Source organism: Homo sapiens, chromosome 1 (assembly GCF_000001405.40).
Source record: "Homo sapiens chromosome 1, GRCh38.p14 Primary Assembly".
Classification (NCBI taxonomy): Eukaryota; Metazoa; Chordata; class Mammalia; order Primates; family Hominidae; genus Homo; species Homo sapiens.
In genome coordinates, this window is record NC_000001.11 from 121,283,916 (window position 1) to 121,299,070 (window position 15,155).

The 15,155-nt window shown below is 43.0% G+C and overlaps 1 protein-coding gene across 2 annotated transcripts in view; it reads left to right on the forward strand.

Moving 5' to 3' along the window:
• SRGAP2C (SLIT-ROBO Rho GTPase activating protein 2C) overlaps positions 1-15,155 on the forward strand; it is a 207,900-nt gene that overhangs the window by 98,941 nt on the left and 93,804 nt on the right. For both annotated transcript variants that reach the window (NM_001329984.2, NM_001271872.3), the window contains exon 3: positions 888-1,080. In NM_001329984.2, the coding sequence (NP_001316913.1) occupies positions 888-1,080 (193 nt within the window). The remainder of the gene's footprint in view (positions 1-887; positions 1,081-15,155) is intronic.

Sequence of the window (15,155 nt, forward strand, 5' to 3'; positions counted from 1 at the left end):
AGAGAGTGTTTGCTAGCTCCATACAAGGACCCTGACCAGCCAGAAATCTGCATGCTAGAGCTTAACCAGAAGTATTTCTAGCTATGACACTATAGAGGCACTACAGCATCTATGAAGATTAAGCAACACAGATATGAGTGATATTTGTTAGTGAAAAAAACTCTTTCCAAGTCTTCTTAAAAAATGATTTTCATTCTGTGATATTGGAAACTGTGAAATCTGATTGACAGTGAATGGTTTGCCTGCCCAGAAGTTCTTGTGCTTCTTTTGTTTTGATTGCTACCATTTGACCTTGGGAGATTTTCTTCCTATCTCCATTAAAATATCCTGACCTTCATCCTACTTCATGAAGATGGTAAACAACATTTTGAAATGATGGGGAAAAATGCAAAAAGTAGGAGCATGGTCTCTAAAGTCAGTCTCTTGGGGTTTGAATCCCAGCTTCACCACTTAAAAGTTTGACTTCTTCAAGACTCTGTTTTCTCATTTTTAAAATGGGGATGAGGTAGTACCTGCCTCATAGGATGGTTGGGGTGATAATTCATTTGGGCCCTCTGCCAGAAGACAACCCAGATTCTGGCTCTGTGCCACTAGAAACATAGTAATATAAATGGTAGATAGGAATGTTATTATTTTTAATAAGCAGCTTCTCATAAGTGATTCAGCAGATTCCTGGTTCACAATGTTCTTTAATGGTGTAAAAAGGGTTGGCATTTTTGGAGGTGCCTCACATCCTATGGCCAGTTTAGACTTTAGGCTTTTTTGTTCAGGGCTTTCAATTTCCCAGGGCACGGGGAATAAGTAAGTGGAAGGTGGGTGAATATTGGCATGCATGGTGGTTTATTTAGGGCTGTCTTTCTGACTGTCTTCTCTTGTTTTTGTTGTAGAGATCCGTGCTCAGCTCACAGAGCAGATGAAATGCCTGGACCAGCAGTGTGAGCTTCGGGTGCAACTGTTGCAGGACCTCCAGGACTTCTTCCGAAAGAAGGCAGAGATTGAGATGGACTACTCCCGCAACCTGGAGAAGCTGGCAGAACACTTCCTGGCCAAGACACGCAGCACCAAGGACCAGCAATTCAAGTAGGGGCTCTGTGGCTATTACTCTCTGAGACCTTGGAATATGGGGTCCAGGGTGGAGGGGGGCAGGGTATGCCACTTAGATCCAGCTGAATTCAGGAGCCCCTGGCTTCAGATTGGTTGAAAGCCCTCAAGGACTTCTCATTTTCCAGATCAGTCTTATGTGCAATTCAACATTTCATAGAGATGAGAGTAGATGATGAACCATGCTAATAATAACAGCAAACTTGTTTATAGCTCTGTTGCCAGGCATGTTACTAAGGGCTTTACATATATGTTAGTTTGCTTAATCCCAACAACTCCATATGATGGTTATTGTTATTATCCCCAATTTATAGATGAGGAAACTGAGGCATAAAAAGGTTAAGGGGCTTAACTCAGGGTCTATCTTAATCTCTGTCTCTCTCTCTCTCACACACACACACACACACACTCACACTCACACACCCCTAGTAAATAGTAGAGCTGGAATTGGGCTGCAGGGTCTATATTTTTAACCATTTCACCAAACTGTCTTTAATTAGAAGAAATAAATGATGTTGAGGCCATTATATCTAAATCCCTGTCTAGGTAGCTGCTAAGGTCTATTTCTTCTACATTTAGTTTATTTTATACAGCTGGCCCATTCACTTGGTTCCCAGTGCCATTGCCCTAGTTTAGATCATCATCTTTTTTGCCTGAATGATTGCAGTATTTACTATATCTTCTATAGCAGAGATTTTCAACCCTGGCTGCATATTAGAATTCCCTGGAGAACTTTAAAAAAAATACAGAAATCTGGGCCCCACTCCAGACCAATTAAATGAGAATCTCTGGGAGTGAGGCCTGGGTAACAGGGTGGTGTAAAAGCTTCCCAGGTGATTCTAATGAACAGCCAGCATTGAGGATCACAGTCCACAGCAGGGGTGTCCAATCTTTTGTTCTCCCTGGGCCACATTGGAAGAAGAAGAATTGTCTTGGGCCACCCATAAAATATGCTAATACAATAGCTGATGAGCTTAAAAAAAATTGCAAAAAAAGTCATAATATTTTAAGAAAGTTTACAAATTTCCGTTGGGTTGCATTCAAAGCCATCCTGGCCCCCATGCAGCCCACAGGCCATAGGTTGGACAAGCTTGGTCTACAGTTTCTCTCCATTCCAATCTGCCTGCTCCATTGTGATCGGAGTTAATCTTCCTGGAACACACTGGCGATCAGAGAATTTCTTTCTGCAAAACTTTCAATGTCTCTCCATTGTCTATGTTCTTTTTATTATGATTATTATTATTTTTAGAAATAAGGTCTTGCTCTGTCACCCAGGCTGAAGTACAATAGCGTGATCTTGGCTCCCTGCAGCCTCAAACTCTTGGGCTCTAGTGATCCTCCTGCCTCAGCCTACCTCCTGAGTAGCTGGGACTGCAGGTGTGCACCATCATACCCAGCTATTTTTATTTTATTTTAATTTTTGTAGACACAGGGTTTCGCTATGTTGCCCAGTTTGGTCTCAAACTCCTGGCCTTAAGTGATCCTCCCACCTCATCCTTCCAAAGTGCTGGAATTACAGGTGTGAGCCACCACACCCAGCCCATCTATGTTTTTGATATCAAATTGTAGTTTCTCAGTGTCAGCATCATCTGTACTGTTAGAAATGCAGTATCTCAGGTCCTACTCCAGTCCTACTATAACAAGATCCCACAACATAGCATGTGATTTGTGTGCACATTGACATTTGGGAAATGCTGTTCCATTCACAAAGGTGCACGCTTTTTGGCTTGGTCTTTAAGCCCCTCTACATCTGGAAAGCCTCAAACAGGTTTCCAACCTTATTTCTTGTTTCTGTTCCACTATACCCGAGCCAAACAGAACATTCACTCCAGTGGGTCACTGGCATCCTGTTACTTGAGGTTATGTGGTCAGTCTTTCCATCTTTGCATGTCTAAGCCATGCCCATGTCTTAAGACCCATCTCAGGTGCTCCCTGTTCCAGGAAACTTTCCTGATTCTCCCAGAAGGAAGAATGTTCTCCATCTTCTGAATTCTTACAGCATTTTATTTGTTCTTCTCTTAGGGCATTCAGCACTATCTACCTTCTGTTATCTTCTCTGAGTGGACTGTATAAGTTTGTTTGATCTTCTGGTGTCCCACAGTGCCTAGTATAATATGTGGTGTATAGTAGATGCTCACTAAATATTGTGGAATAAATAAATGAATGAATGAATTTGAAATTAGTGCCAAGTGTATCTTATTTTCCCCATTTTCTATTTTTGTTTATTGCCTTAATAATACAGGACACAAATTATCCTTTAAAAGCCAGCTCTGTGCAATGAAGATGGGGTTAAGGTTGAGGAGAACATGACATCTCAAAATAAGCCAGAATGAAAATTTCCTCCAGATGTTTTTTTCCTCAGAGTTTCTTATCTTTCCCAAGTCTTATTCTCTTTATGATAAGAGAATCATCTGATAAAAAAATGTTATTTTAGTATGTGATAAATGAAGACTTAGGGGAGGAATCATTTGCTTTAGAAAATGATTCAAAGTTGGATTTATTCTGTTGGTAATCTCATCCTAAATTTAAAATAGCATTTGATTTTTAGTACTATATCATATTCTCAGCTTATGGACGTATTTGTTACAAATTAAGGTTCAGATGTGTTAATCTCCAAGTCATCTTGTGTCCGGAATTGGTGGGTACTTGGTCTCACTGACTTCAAGAATGAGGCCGCGGACCCTCGCGGTGAGTGTTACAGCTCTTAAGGTGGTGTGTCTGGAGTCTGTCCCTTCTGATGTTCAGATGTGTTTGGAGTTTCTTCCTTCTGGTGGGTTCATGGTCTCGCTGGCTCAGGAGTGAAGCTGCAGACCTTCACGGTGAGTGTTACAGCTCTTAAGGCAGCGCGTCTGGAGTTGTTCATTCCTCCCGGTGGGCTTGTGGTCTCGCTGGGCTCAGGAGTGAAGCTGCAGATCTTTGCAGTGAGTGTTACAGCTCATAAAAGCAGCATGGACCCAAAAAGTGAGCACTAGCAAGATTTATTGCAAAAAGCAAAAGAACAAACCTTCCACCGTGTGGAAGGGGACCCGAGCGGGTTGCCAATGTTGGCTCGGGCAGCCTGCTTTTAGTCTCTTATCTGGCCCCACCCACATCCTGCTGATTGGTAGAGCCGAGTGGCCTGTTTTGTCAGGGTGCTGATTGGTGCATTTACAATCCCTGAGATAGATACAAAGGTTCTCCACCTCCCCATCAGATTAGTTAGATACAGAGTTTTGACACACAGGTTCTCTAAGGCCCCACCAGAGCAGCTAGATACAGAGTGTCGATTGGTGCATTCACCAACCTTGAGCTAAACACAGGGTGCTGATTGGTGTGTTTACAAACCTTGAGCTAGATACAGAGTGCCGATTGGTGTATTTACAATCTCTGAGCTAGACATAAAGGTTCTCCACATCCTCACCAGAGCAGCTAGATACAGAGTGTCGATTGGTGCACTCACAAATCTTGAGCTAAACACAGGGTGCTGATTGGTGTATTTACAAACCTTGAGCTAGATTCAGAGTGCCGATTGGTGTACTTACAGTCCTTGAGCTAGACATAAAGGTTCTCCACGTCCTCACCAGAGCAGCTAGATACAGAGTGTCGATTGGTGCACTTACAAACCTTGAGCTAAACACAGGGTGCTGATTGGTGTGTTTACAAACCTTGAGCTAGATATAGAGTGCCGATTGGTGTATTTACAATCTCTGAGCTAGACATAAAGGTTCTCCACATCCTCACCAGAGCAGCTAGATACAGAGTGTCGATTGGTGCACTCACAAATCTTGAGCTAAACACAGGGTGCTGATTGGTGTATTTACAAACCTTGAGCTAGATTCAGAGTGCCGATTGGTGTATTTACAGTCCTTGAGCTAGACATAAAGGTTCTCCACGTCCTCACTAGAGCAACTAGATACAGAGTGTCGATTGGTGCACTCACAAACCTTGAGCTAAACACAGGGTGCTGATTGGTGTATTTACAATCCCTGAGCTACATATAAAGACTCTCCACGTCCCCACCAGACTCAGGAGCCCAGTTGGCTTCATCTAGTGGATCCCGCACCGGGGCTGCAGGTGGAGCTGCCTGCCAGTCCTGCGCTGTGCGCTCGCATTCCTCAGCCCTTGGGTGGTCGATGGGACTGGGCGCCATGGAGCAGGGGGTGGTGCTCGTCGGGGAGGCTCCGGCCGCACAGGAGCCCATGGAGTGGGTGGGAGGCTCAGACATGGCGGGCTGCAGGTCCTGAGCCCTGCCCCGCGGGAAGGCAGCTAAGGCCCAGCGAGAAATCGAGCACAGCGCCGATGGTCCGGCACTGCTGGGGGACTCAGTACACCCTCCGCAGCCACTGGCCCGGGTGCTAAGTCCCCCATTGCCCGGGGCCAGCAGGGCTGGCTGGCTGCTCCGAGTGCGGGGCCCACCAAGCCCACGCCCACCCGGAACTCCAGCTGGCCCGCAAGCGCCGCACGCAGCCCCGGTTCCCGCTCGTGCCTCTCCCTCCACACCTCCCTGCAAGCTGAGGGAGTGGGCTCCAGCCTTGGCCAGCCCAGAAAGGGGCTCCCACAGTGCAGGGGGGAGGCTGAAGGGCTCCTCAAATGCCACCAAAGTGGGAGCCCAGGCAGGGGAGGTGCCGAGAGCAAGCGAGGGCTCTGAGGACTGCCAGCATGCTGTCACCTCTCAATCTGAATTGTTCTAATTAAGATCACATACTAGGAATAGGGTGATTTCTCCAAGTTTAGAAGAATTGATTTATTTTCTGATAAAGATGGTGCTTGGCAACATTTTTTCCTCAAATAACCAGTGAGTATTTATTGATTGACCAGTTCTGTGCTTGTACAAGGCATTGGAAAATACAAGAGAAGTTTAGGGAGTCATTATGTGGTTGGAGAGAAGATTTTGAATACAGGAAGCAATTAGAGCATAAAGCAGTAATGATCTCATTAATTGGTGTTATGTACAACATAGATCTGATGAGAGGTCAGAGATGGTTAAAGGTTCTGGAATAGTCTGGAAAGTTGTCATGAAGCAGGTGGGACCTAGGCTTGAGAGGTAGATTTGTGTGGCAGAGGAGAGAACAGCAAGTGCAGGTGAGAGGAAGCAGGAATATTTGGTGATGAGAGGGTGTAGGGGCTAGTGTGGGATCCAGCTTTATTAAAGGGAAGGTTCCTAACACATTCATCTAACTGATTTCCATTGCACATTCCTTGAACTCCTTTGTGCCTTGGAGTGTAGCAGGGAACAAATTGCTACACTTAGCACTTAGCACTTAGATGAAGAAATGGGCATTTAACAAATCACACAATTAGATATGTAATTTAAAGTTGGGGTAAGTGTTGTGGAAGGAAAGTATTTAATACAAGGTGGCACAAGAACCTGGAAGAGGGCAACTTTTCCACTTTATAGCTGGTTTACTCCAATAGCTTCCTGCCTGATCGTATTCTGGGTAACAATCAGTCTACTTATTCAACAAATTACTTTTAAATACCTACTGAGTACTGTGCTCTGTGTTGATTCCTATAGGAACTAACATAAACTTAGGAATTCCTGTTTAAGCGGAGCATGGTGACTTATGCCTGTAACCCCAGCACTTTGAGAGGGTAAGATAGGAGGATCTCCTGAGGCCAGGAGTTTGAGACCAGCCTAGGCAACATAGCAAGAACCCATCTCTACAAAAAATAAAAAATTAGCTCAGCATGGTGATGCACGCCTGTAGTCCTAACTTCTCAGGAGGTGGGAAGATCGCTTCACTCCAGGAGTTGGAGCCTACAGTGAGCTATGACTGCACCGCTGCACACCAGCCTGGGTGACAGAGTGAGACCCTGTGTCTAAAAAAAAAAAAAAATCCCTGGTTAACAGGGAAAAGAGCTATGTAAATAGTATAATGTGAAAAGAGCTTTAGTAGAGATATGAGAACACAGCTATTTTCAAGAGCAGTGGAAAATAAGGTTAAATAAGTAGAGTAGACCCCAAATGATAGCCCTTTGATAGCAAGCAGAGAAGTTCAGATTGGGTGTGGCAGCATTTTAGTGGGTCCTCTGGGTTCTTAGGTGGGGAGAGAGACACGAGGAAAACAGAAGGCCAGGATGAAGGTTTTGGGGTAATCTACACACAAAGTAAGAGCAAAAAAAAAAAAAGTGGGGGGAGTGGAAAGGAAGTAGGAATATATTCAGAAGGTATTCAAGAAACTAAATAGGACTGGATAACTGACTGGATAAAGCATAGAACCATAATGGTCAGAGGTGACCCAGTGTCTCTACCCTGGTGACCTAGAAGAATTGTGGCATTCACGATAGAAGTGGGGGTGTTGAGGGAAGATCTGTTTTGAATGGTGATCCTACTTTGAACATTTTGGGTGTAGAGCAGTACGAGGCCATCAGGTATCCAGGTGGAGACGGCATACTGCTGAGGTAAGAGGTTATGACTGGGGATAGCTAGCAGAATCTTCGGAGTAAAAGTGATTGTGGGAGAGATGAAAGTATATGAATTCAGGGAAGAGAAAGAGGAGAACAAAGAGCTAAATCCAGGACCCCAGGCTTAGACAATAAAAGTTTTGCATTGGTAGTAAAAGTTACTATGAGGAGAAGCAAAAGCTACCTGAAGAGAGAGAGAATAGTTTTGTTTTTTAAGGCAAAGGGTAGAAGGTAAGGTGGGAAAGTGGCGTCTGATGGAACTAGAAGTGTTTTAAGTAGAAGATCTGTAAGAGCAATTTCTTATTGATACTCTCTCATGTATAAGGTATTGTGAGAGATGCAAAGATGACTAAAACAAGCCCCAAACCCAAATGTTTTCAATCTCTTAGGGTGAAACATATGAAATTGCTGGTTTTTTTTGTAAGGCAAAATGGCAATTTCATATGGTACAGCCTGGTAGAAGAGGAGATAGAACATATGTACAAATGCATTTAATACAGGCAAGGTGGTGAGAAACTCAATAAGAGAGGCTCAGGCAACATCCTACTTTCATGCATAATTTATTCCTAAAAGTGTATACAGAAGTCAAATGGTTGAATGTCTAACTACAGTTTTATGTGGGGTAGGTAGGTTCTATTATTATAAATAAGTGTATATGTGAAATTCCAAATTATCCCTCACCTGATATATTTTTAGCATTGTATACCTTGTCTTTAGTTCTGTTTGTTTTTCCGCCATTAAACTCATGGCCTGCCTGCTCAAGTTCAGTGAATACCTAAAGAGTCCACGTAGCTGATGAGTTCTGCCCTTATCTTAGTAGTACAGTGATGAGACCTCTACTTCTCAATGCAACATTAGTAACAGCACTTTTGTTTTTCCATTTCCACTCATTTTTGTGTTGCAAAAGATAACCAAGTGTTAAAATGTGTGCACAGCACAAGCATTGCTGTGCAGAGACAACCATCCTGCTGAAACAGAATTGGTACCTGGCAGTCAGCAGCACTAAGACAAGCTTGAAACATTTGCTGGCAACTGAAAATTTGACATTGGCATAGGAAAGGCATCTTAGGCATGTCTGATTTGGTAAAGATATAAGTTTGGCTGATGTAATAGACCCCAAGTAATAATGGCATACACAAGATAGAGGTTGATTTTTCTCTGATGTCATAGTCTAGGTGTTAGCCATCCAGGGCTGTCAGGCTTCTTATTCCATCCCGAGAGTGTTATCCTTTTCTGTATGACCCAAGATGGCTCACTGCCACCATGTTCTCATTCCAGCCAGCAGGAAAAGGCAACAGGACGAGGGGAAGGTATGGCCTTATTTTTTAAAGGTGCACTCTGGAAGTGGCACACACAGCTCTTCAACTCATATCTGACTGGCCAGAACTTAGTCACATGGTTATGCTGAACTGCAAGGGAGGCTGGGAAGTGTAGTTATTGTTCTGGGTGACTATAAAGTAGAGTTTCTCTTAATATAGAAGAAGGGGAAATATTGGGGGACAATCAGCAGCATCTGCCATGGTGTATGAAAGGACAAGTGTAGGAAAGACCATGGCCACCCATCCATACAGAGTGCCACAGGTGCACAAAGAAGACAGATTTCTTCTGATTGGAGGACTGGAGAGGGCTTTAGGGAGGTCAAGTTCAATGGATGGGAGATAAAAAAATTAAAGTGCCAATGCTAGGCATTGATCCTTTAAGTTTAATACAGTTGAGACAATGGAGAAGTTGTAGAAAGAAGGTGAAAAGATGGGAAAGGAAGCATTTTAGATAGAGCAGTATTAGAAAAGGCTAACAGAAGTGAGAACAAACGCTGATGGATAACTTATCTGTTTTGCTGAAGAACAGGAATTATAAATGTGATAGTGAAATAAACCTGGAAAAGATAGGGGCCAGAAGATTAAAGAGGTCTATGAATGCCAGGCGACAGGGTTCGGGCTTTATTCTGTAAGCATGGGGGACCATTGATAGTTTTTGAGCAAGGAACATAATTATGGCTGTGCTTTCGAAGGGTAACTATGGCAACGATGCATATGATCAATTGGAGCAGAGAGACTGGAAGGAGGAGGACCTGTTAAGAAAGGAGTCCAGTGGTGAGGTTAATGTGGGCTGAAACTGAGGTCATACCCTTGGAAATAGACAAGATGGGGCCAAGTGTGAGGACAAGAATTAATGGAATTCAAAGAAGCTGGGACAGAGAAAGTGCTCTTGGTTTCCTGGGTCTCTGGAGTGACAATAGTACTGTATTTTCAGTCGGTGAACTGTAGCCTTGATTTTGCTGACTCTAGGACTGGTCCCAGAATAGTTCATTCTCTGCCCAGAACATCTCAGTGGGCACTCATCACCTCCCCCGGAGCTGTAGCAGCTGTTGGGCTAGCAATGCCATGAATTTGTCTTCCTGTACTGCCAGGAGAGCAGCTGCCAGCAGCAACTCTGAACAGACCCATCTCAGGGACGTGGAAACTATTCAACTTGGGATGCAGCAGGTTGGCCAGGGCTGAATTCAGTCCACATGGATTCATCTCACCCTTTTCCAGGCCACTTTCTTACCCTGGCTGGGTTTCAGCCACTCATACTGCGTTAGGTTGGGTATTTTCTTACAGTTCTAAGTGATTGCATTTAGGGATGGACGCTGCTGAACTGCTTTCTTCATCTTTTGGACACCTCCTCCCCTGGAAGCCATTACGCTGTCAGCCTTTGGCTTTGCTTCCTACTCTGCTCTGCTCCTGCTCACCTTTTGTCCTCTCCCACATTGCGCTCAGTGCAGACATCCTCATTAAAGCCTGTACAGTTCTGACTCCATGGCAGCCTGACCCTCTGGTTCCATCCCTCTCCTTCTTTCTCCTTCCCCCAGAGAATGAGAGATGCTGCAGATAGAACTGTAGCGATTATTTGACCCTATGTTATTCTGCTTTGTTTAAGACAGGTAACATGGCTTTCCCCATCCCTGTGAATTGTGGGAAGACCCTGCTAATGTCTGAAATTCTGTCAGCCTGGTTTGATTAAGAGCAGTGGTAAAGTATTATGCGAGGGTAGGAAGCCTTTCTAGGGAAGATGTTCTTGCATTTTCTTTGGCTCCTTGAAGAGCATAAATGTATTCCTATTTGTTGCTGAGCCTTTGATTGTCTCTTTTAAGTGGAATCTGTGTTAATATGGCCCAGCAGGACTCTAATTGATAATGCATTGGCTGTTTTTTTTTTTTTTTAAATAGACTTCCTGTAAATTACCTTTCAGTCATAGCTCACTTGGTTTTGATCTCCTGCTTTTAATAGCTCATTTTTTTAGGTAGCTTTTTTTTTTCTGTTGAGTTTTTAGAGCAATACTTCTACATTTCTGTCCTGCTGTGTTCCTTGCAGAGACCTTCTGCTATTTTATAACCCACTGTCAGTATCTTTTCACCGTTTCTCCCAGCTTCTTTCTCTCCTCAACACATATTTGTTGACTATTTTAGAGGTTTTGTTCTAAACTCTTAGAGGACAGAGATCCAAAGAAATAAAAGGAGTAGTTCTTTCCCATATGAAATTATAATCTAGTCAGGGAGAAATTAAATTCAAATACAAGAATACAAATCTTCAACATAAGGCTATATGTAGTAAGTACTAAGTATATGCTGCAGAAGAGATGAGGCTCAGTTGGTGTAGACAGGAAACTTCAGTAAGGAAATGAGATTTGAACAAAGCTTTAAAGAAAATGGCTCTTGAGAGGGAGGGGAAGATACTCTAGGAAAAAGGGGCACAGCTAGAAGAAAGAACAAAGCACTTTTGAGGTACAGTGAGTAGACTGGTTTAGCTGGGAGAATAAGTGGATGTGGAAGAAGTGGACAAAGGTAGATGAGTTTGTATTGTGGAGGGCCTTGACTCTTGATTAGGGATTTGGCTCTATACAATAGACACTGGAAACCACTGATGGTTTAAATAGGTATGAATTCTGATTAAGGAAGATTAACCTAGTGGTAGTTTGCTAAATGACAAGAAACATGAGACCAAGGAAACCAGTTGCTGCAGTAGATCATAAGGATCTAAATTAGGTTGGGATGGTAGGAATGAAAAGAAGGGGAATTTATCCTTCTGTCCATTTAGCAAATATATATCTTCTTACCATGTGCCAGACACATGCCAGATACCCACCCCTGTACTCCTAGAGCTTACAGTCTAGAGACAGATGGAAAGCACCTGGTGCAGGAAGAATCTACAGGAATTGCTGACTGATGGGATTCAGGTTTCAAGTGAGCTTGGAAGCCATAAAAGAAAGAGGTCTGTAAAGTGTCTTTTTGACTTGGGTGATTGATAAATTAATGGTATCTTTAAAAGAAATAGAGAGGGGCTTTTTTGTTTTTGTTGTTGTTGTTGTTGTTGTTGTTGTTGTTTGGGTTTTTTTTTAGATGGAGTTTCGCTCTTGTTGCCCAGGCTGGAGTGCAATGGCACGATCTCAGCTCACTGCATCCTCTGCCTCCCAGGTTCAAGCTATTCTCCTGCCTCAGCCTCCCGAGTAGCTGGGATTACAGGCATGCGCCATGACGCCAGGCTAATTTTGTATTTTTAGTAGAGACAGGGCTTCTCCATGTTGGTCAGGTTGGTCTTGAACTCCTGACCTCAGGTGATCCGCACACCTTGGCCTCCCAAAGTGCTGGGATTACAGGCATAAGCCTCTGTGCCCAGCTGAAATCTAGTGTTTTTTTAACAGAAGTTAGGAGAAAGAATTGTTTTTGAAGGAGTAAAATATGAGAAATTTGGTTTTGGATTTTAAGTTTAAGGTGTTGGAAGAGTATTGAAGCTAAAATTTCTAGTAGTTGACAAAATGAATGGCTGTATGCAGGGCTAAAGAGATTTTTTGGCTGTTGGTAGAGATTTGCACACATGCACAGAGAGGGGATGGTTGAAACTGTGGAAATATTTGTGATTTCCAATAGTAAGAGTTTAGAAGAACAAAGGGGAAACTTCCTTTGTATCATCTGTGATACTCAGATTACAGAGTGTATAAAGGAATTTAAATGATATATTTATTTGTGTATCATTGAGTATACATTTTGGGAACCTAATTATGTATCAGGAATTGGGTTTAGTACTGGAGATAGAGAAGAATAAGACAATCTCCTATTTTCACTAATATTAAATTAGCAGAATATCAAGGAGGTAGACATAGAAAGTAAACTTTCTTGTTTGGCTGGTTATCAGTTGTGTCACTATTGGAAGTGATGTGAGGGAGCAGGGCCTAGGTATCTTAAGAATTTGGTAGACATTCAACCTGCAATACTCCTTTCAGTGGGAGGTTAGTTACACAATTAATTAAAGAAAAATTATTGTAGAGTCTGTGTTCTCGGCTTCAGGCCCAGTATTTGAATGTGCGCCATCTCTGTAGTTACATCACTACTGCGGATGGGTTCCTCCCCTGGAGTTGAGTTCAAAGTCATTCACCAGTCTCACAGGATAGCATTGGGTTGAAAAGCATAGAGTCAGTTGGCCATGGAAAATGTTATAGTTGTGGTTGCAAATCGGAAAAGGGTGGAAGACCAGAAGGTTCCTCATTGACTTATGGAGTGACCTTGAGAAGGAAAGTACCAGGAAACATGAAGCTCCCGGGAGGGAGAACCCCTGACTTCCTGGGACCAGTGCGTCACTCACTCATTTTGGACATATTTGGGAGCTGTTTGTTCCCTCAGGAAAGATTTTGCCCAGATGTAGCACCTGGTGTTGCAAGGGTTGGCTTCCCTTCTCCATGGCTCAAGATGCCTTTGTTCAGAAATTAACAGAAGGTTCTTTGGTGTGTTTTGCATGGGCCCAGTTCATGTAGAACCTTAGGTCATTGTTGAGTCCTTTTTGGAGGAAGAGTTGGGAGGACTTCTCACACATGGGTAAAGCAGAATGGAAGAGACGCAAGAAGGCCATTTGGGAATCAGCAAGACAGGGTGATCCAGTCTTTGGAAGAGAGAAAGAATTCAGTTAAAAGTTCTTTGGGAAGCTTTGTGACTTTGTGTGGGAAAAACCAGAGCTTTGAGCCAGAAAAACTTGGGTCTGAATCTTGTCTCTTCTACTCCTAGCTTGTGACCTTAAGCAAGTCACTTTACCCCTGTTAGCCTCAATTTCTTACCTGTGAAATGTTGACAGTAATACTTACCTTGAAGGATTCTTCTAAGGATATATATAATGTATATACAGCACTAGCTAATGTTTGTGACTTAATGGATGCTCAATAAATGGTAGCTGATAATAATTATCAGGAAAAGTCAATCCTGATAGTTAAGATCAGCCACAGAAGAGTCAGCCCTGATAGTTAAGATCACAAGTTCTGGGAACCAGATTTCCTGGGTTCACAATCCTGGATTTCTCCCACTTACTTGCTGTGTGATTTTAGATGAAAGGTTTTAATCACCTCAGTATCCTCGTTTGCAAAATGAAGATAATATTCATAACTACCTTATGGAGTTGTTATGCTGGTTAAGTGAATTAATAATATGTGAAACACTTAGGACAGCTTGGCACATAGTAAATGTAAATAGTAGCAACTATTATCCCTATCCTCAGGATTTGGGCCTGAGCACAGCTGTACTGGGTAAAACACTGGTATATTAGATACACTAGTCATTCCTTGTGCAGAGTTAAGTATTCCTAAGCCTGGCTGGGTAATATGTCAGTTTCCATTTTCTTCAGACACCTGTGGGCCCTCATGAATGACAAATTCATCCCCTACCCTGATTTTTATGGTATAGCTACATTGGGCAGGACATAGGCAATTATGTGACTCTGTGTAATTGCATGGTCAGTCCCTATAAAAACTCAGCAATTGTATGTTTTGTTCTGTAAGGTGTCATATAGTTCAACCTTGGTGGGTTACTTTTAGATCCAGGCTCATAATCATGAAGAGGAAGACATTTGTCATACAACCACTCTCTGATTTTCTCATCCTTTGGAGTTAATAGTTAGCCCTATTGCCAAATTGCTGAGTTTCTATAAAGATATACTGTTGAGGCCCACAGGTCCCAATTTTGACTTGGGCAAATAAAAGAAGGCCAGTCCTATTCAGCCTCCTGCAGTATCTACCATCGAGGCCAGCAGGCCAGTGCAGTACAAACCTTAGTCATGAACATAACAGTATGTGGTTTACTGGGTTGTTTGTCTCATGAGGCCAAACAGAAGCTCCCAAGCTTCTGCATAAATGGCTTTATATCTTCCTTTTAGGGTAGGGAATGATAAGAGGGCAGGTTAGAAGCAAAATATGCTTTTATGAGCAATTGGGAGGATGTTGGAGACTCCTGAGAGTTTCCTGTGTCTCCTAGGATTTGCCACTGGAATGTCAGCAGGCCATACCTCAGGCGTTCAGCTCCATGGAGCAAAGACAGTAGTGATCACGTTCCTTGACAACAGTGCTAGTGTGCGGGGAGCTTTTAGTTTTCCTTTTCTCTGCTCCTGTAAGCCCCATAATAATTCTGTAGCAGACACAGGAAGCAATGTGTCTAACTACTACTAGGCAATGTGTTCTTGGGATTTTTAATTCTCAGGAATTCGCAGCCAATTAAATGAATTTACTTTGATCCAGTTCTCTTTTCAAGGCAAAAGCTGTGTCATCTTATTGGGAGCTGACTGTGTTAAGTGGGAGGGTTTACAAGATAAGAAGAAAAGACAGTCTCTGCCATACGTGTTTTTATAATTGAAATGGGGGAAATCGGGCAGGCT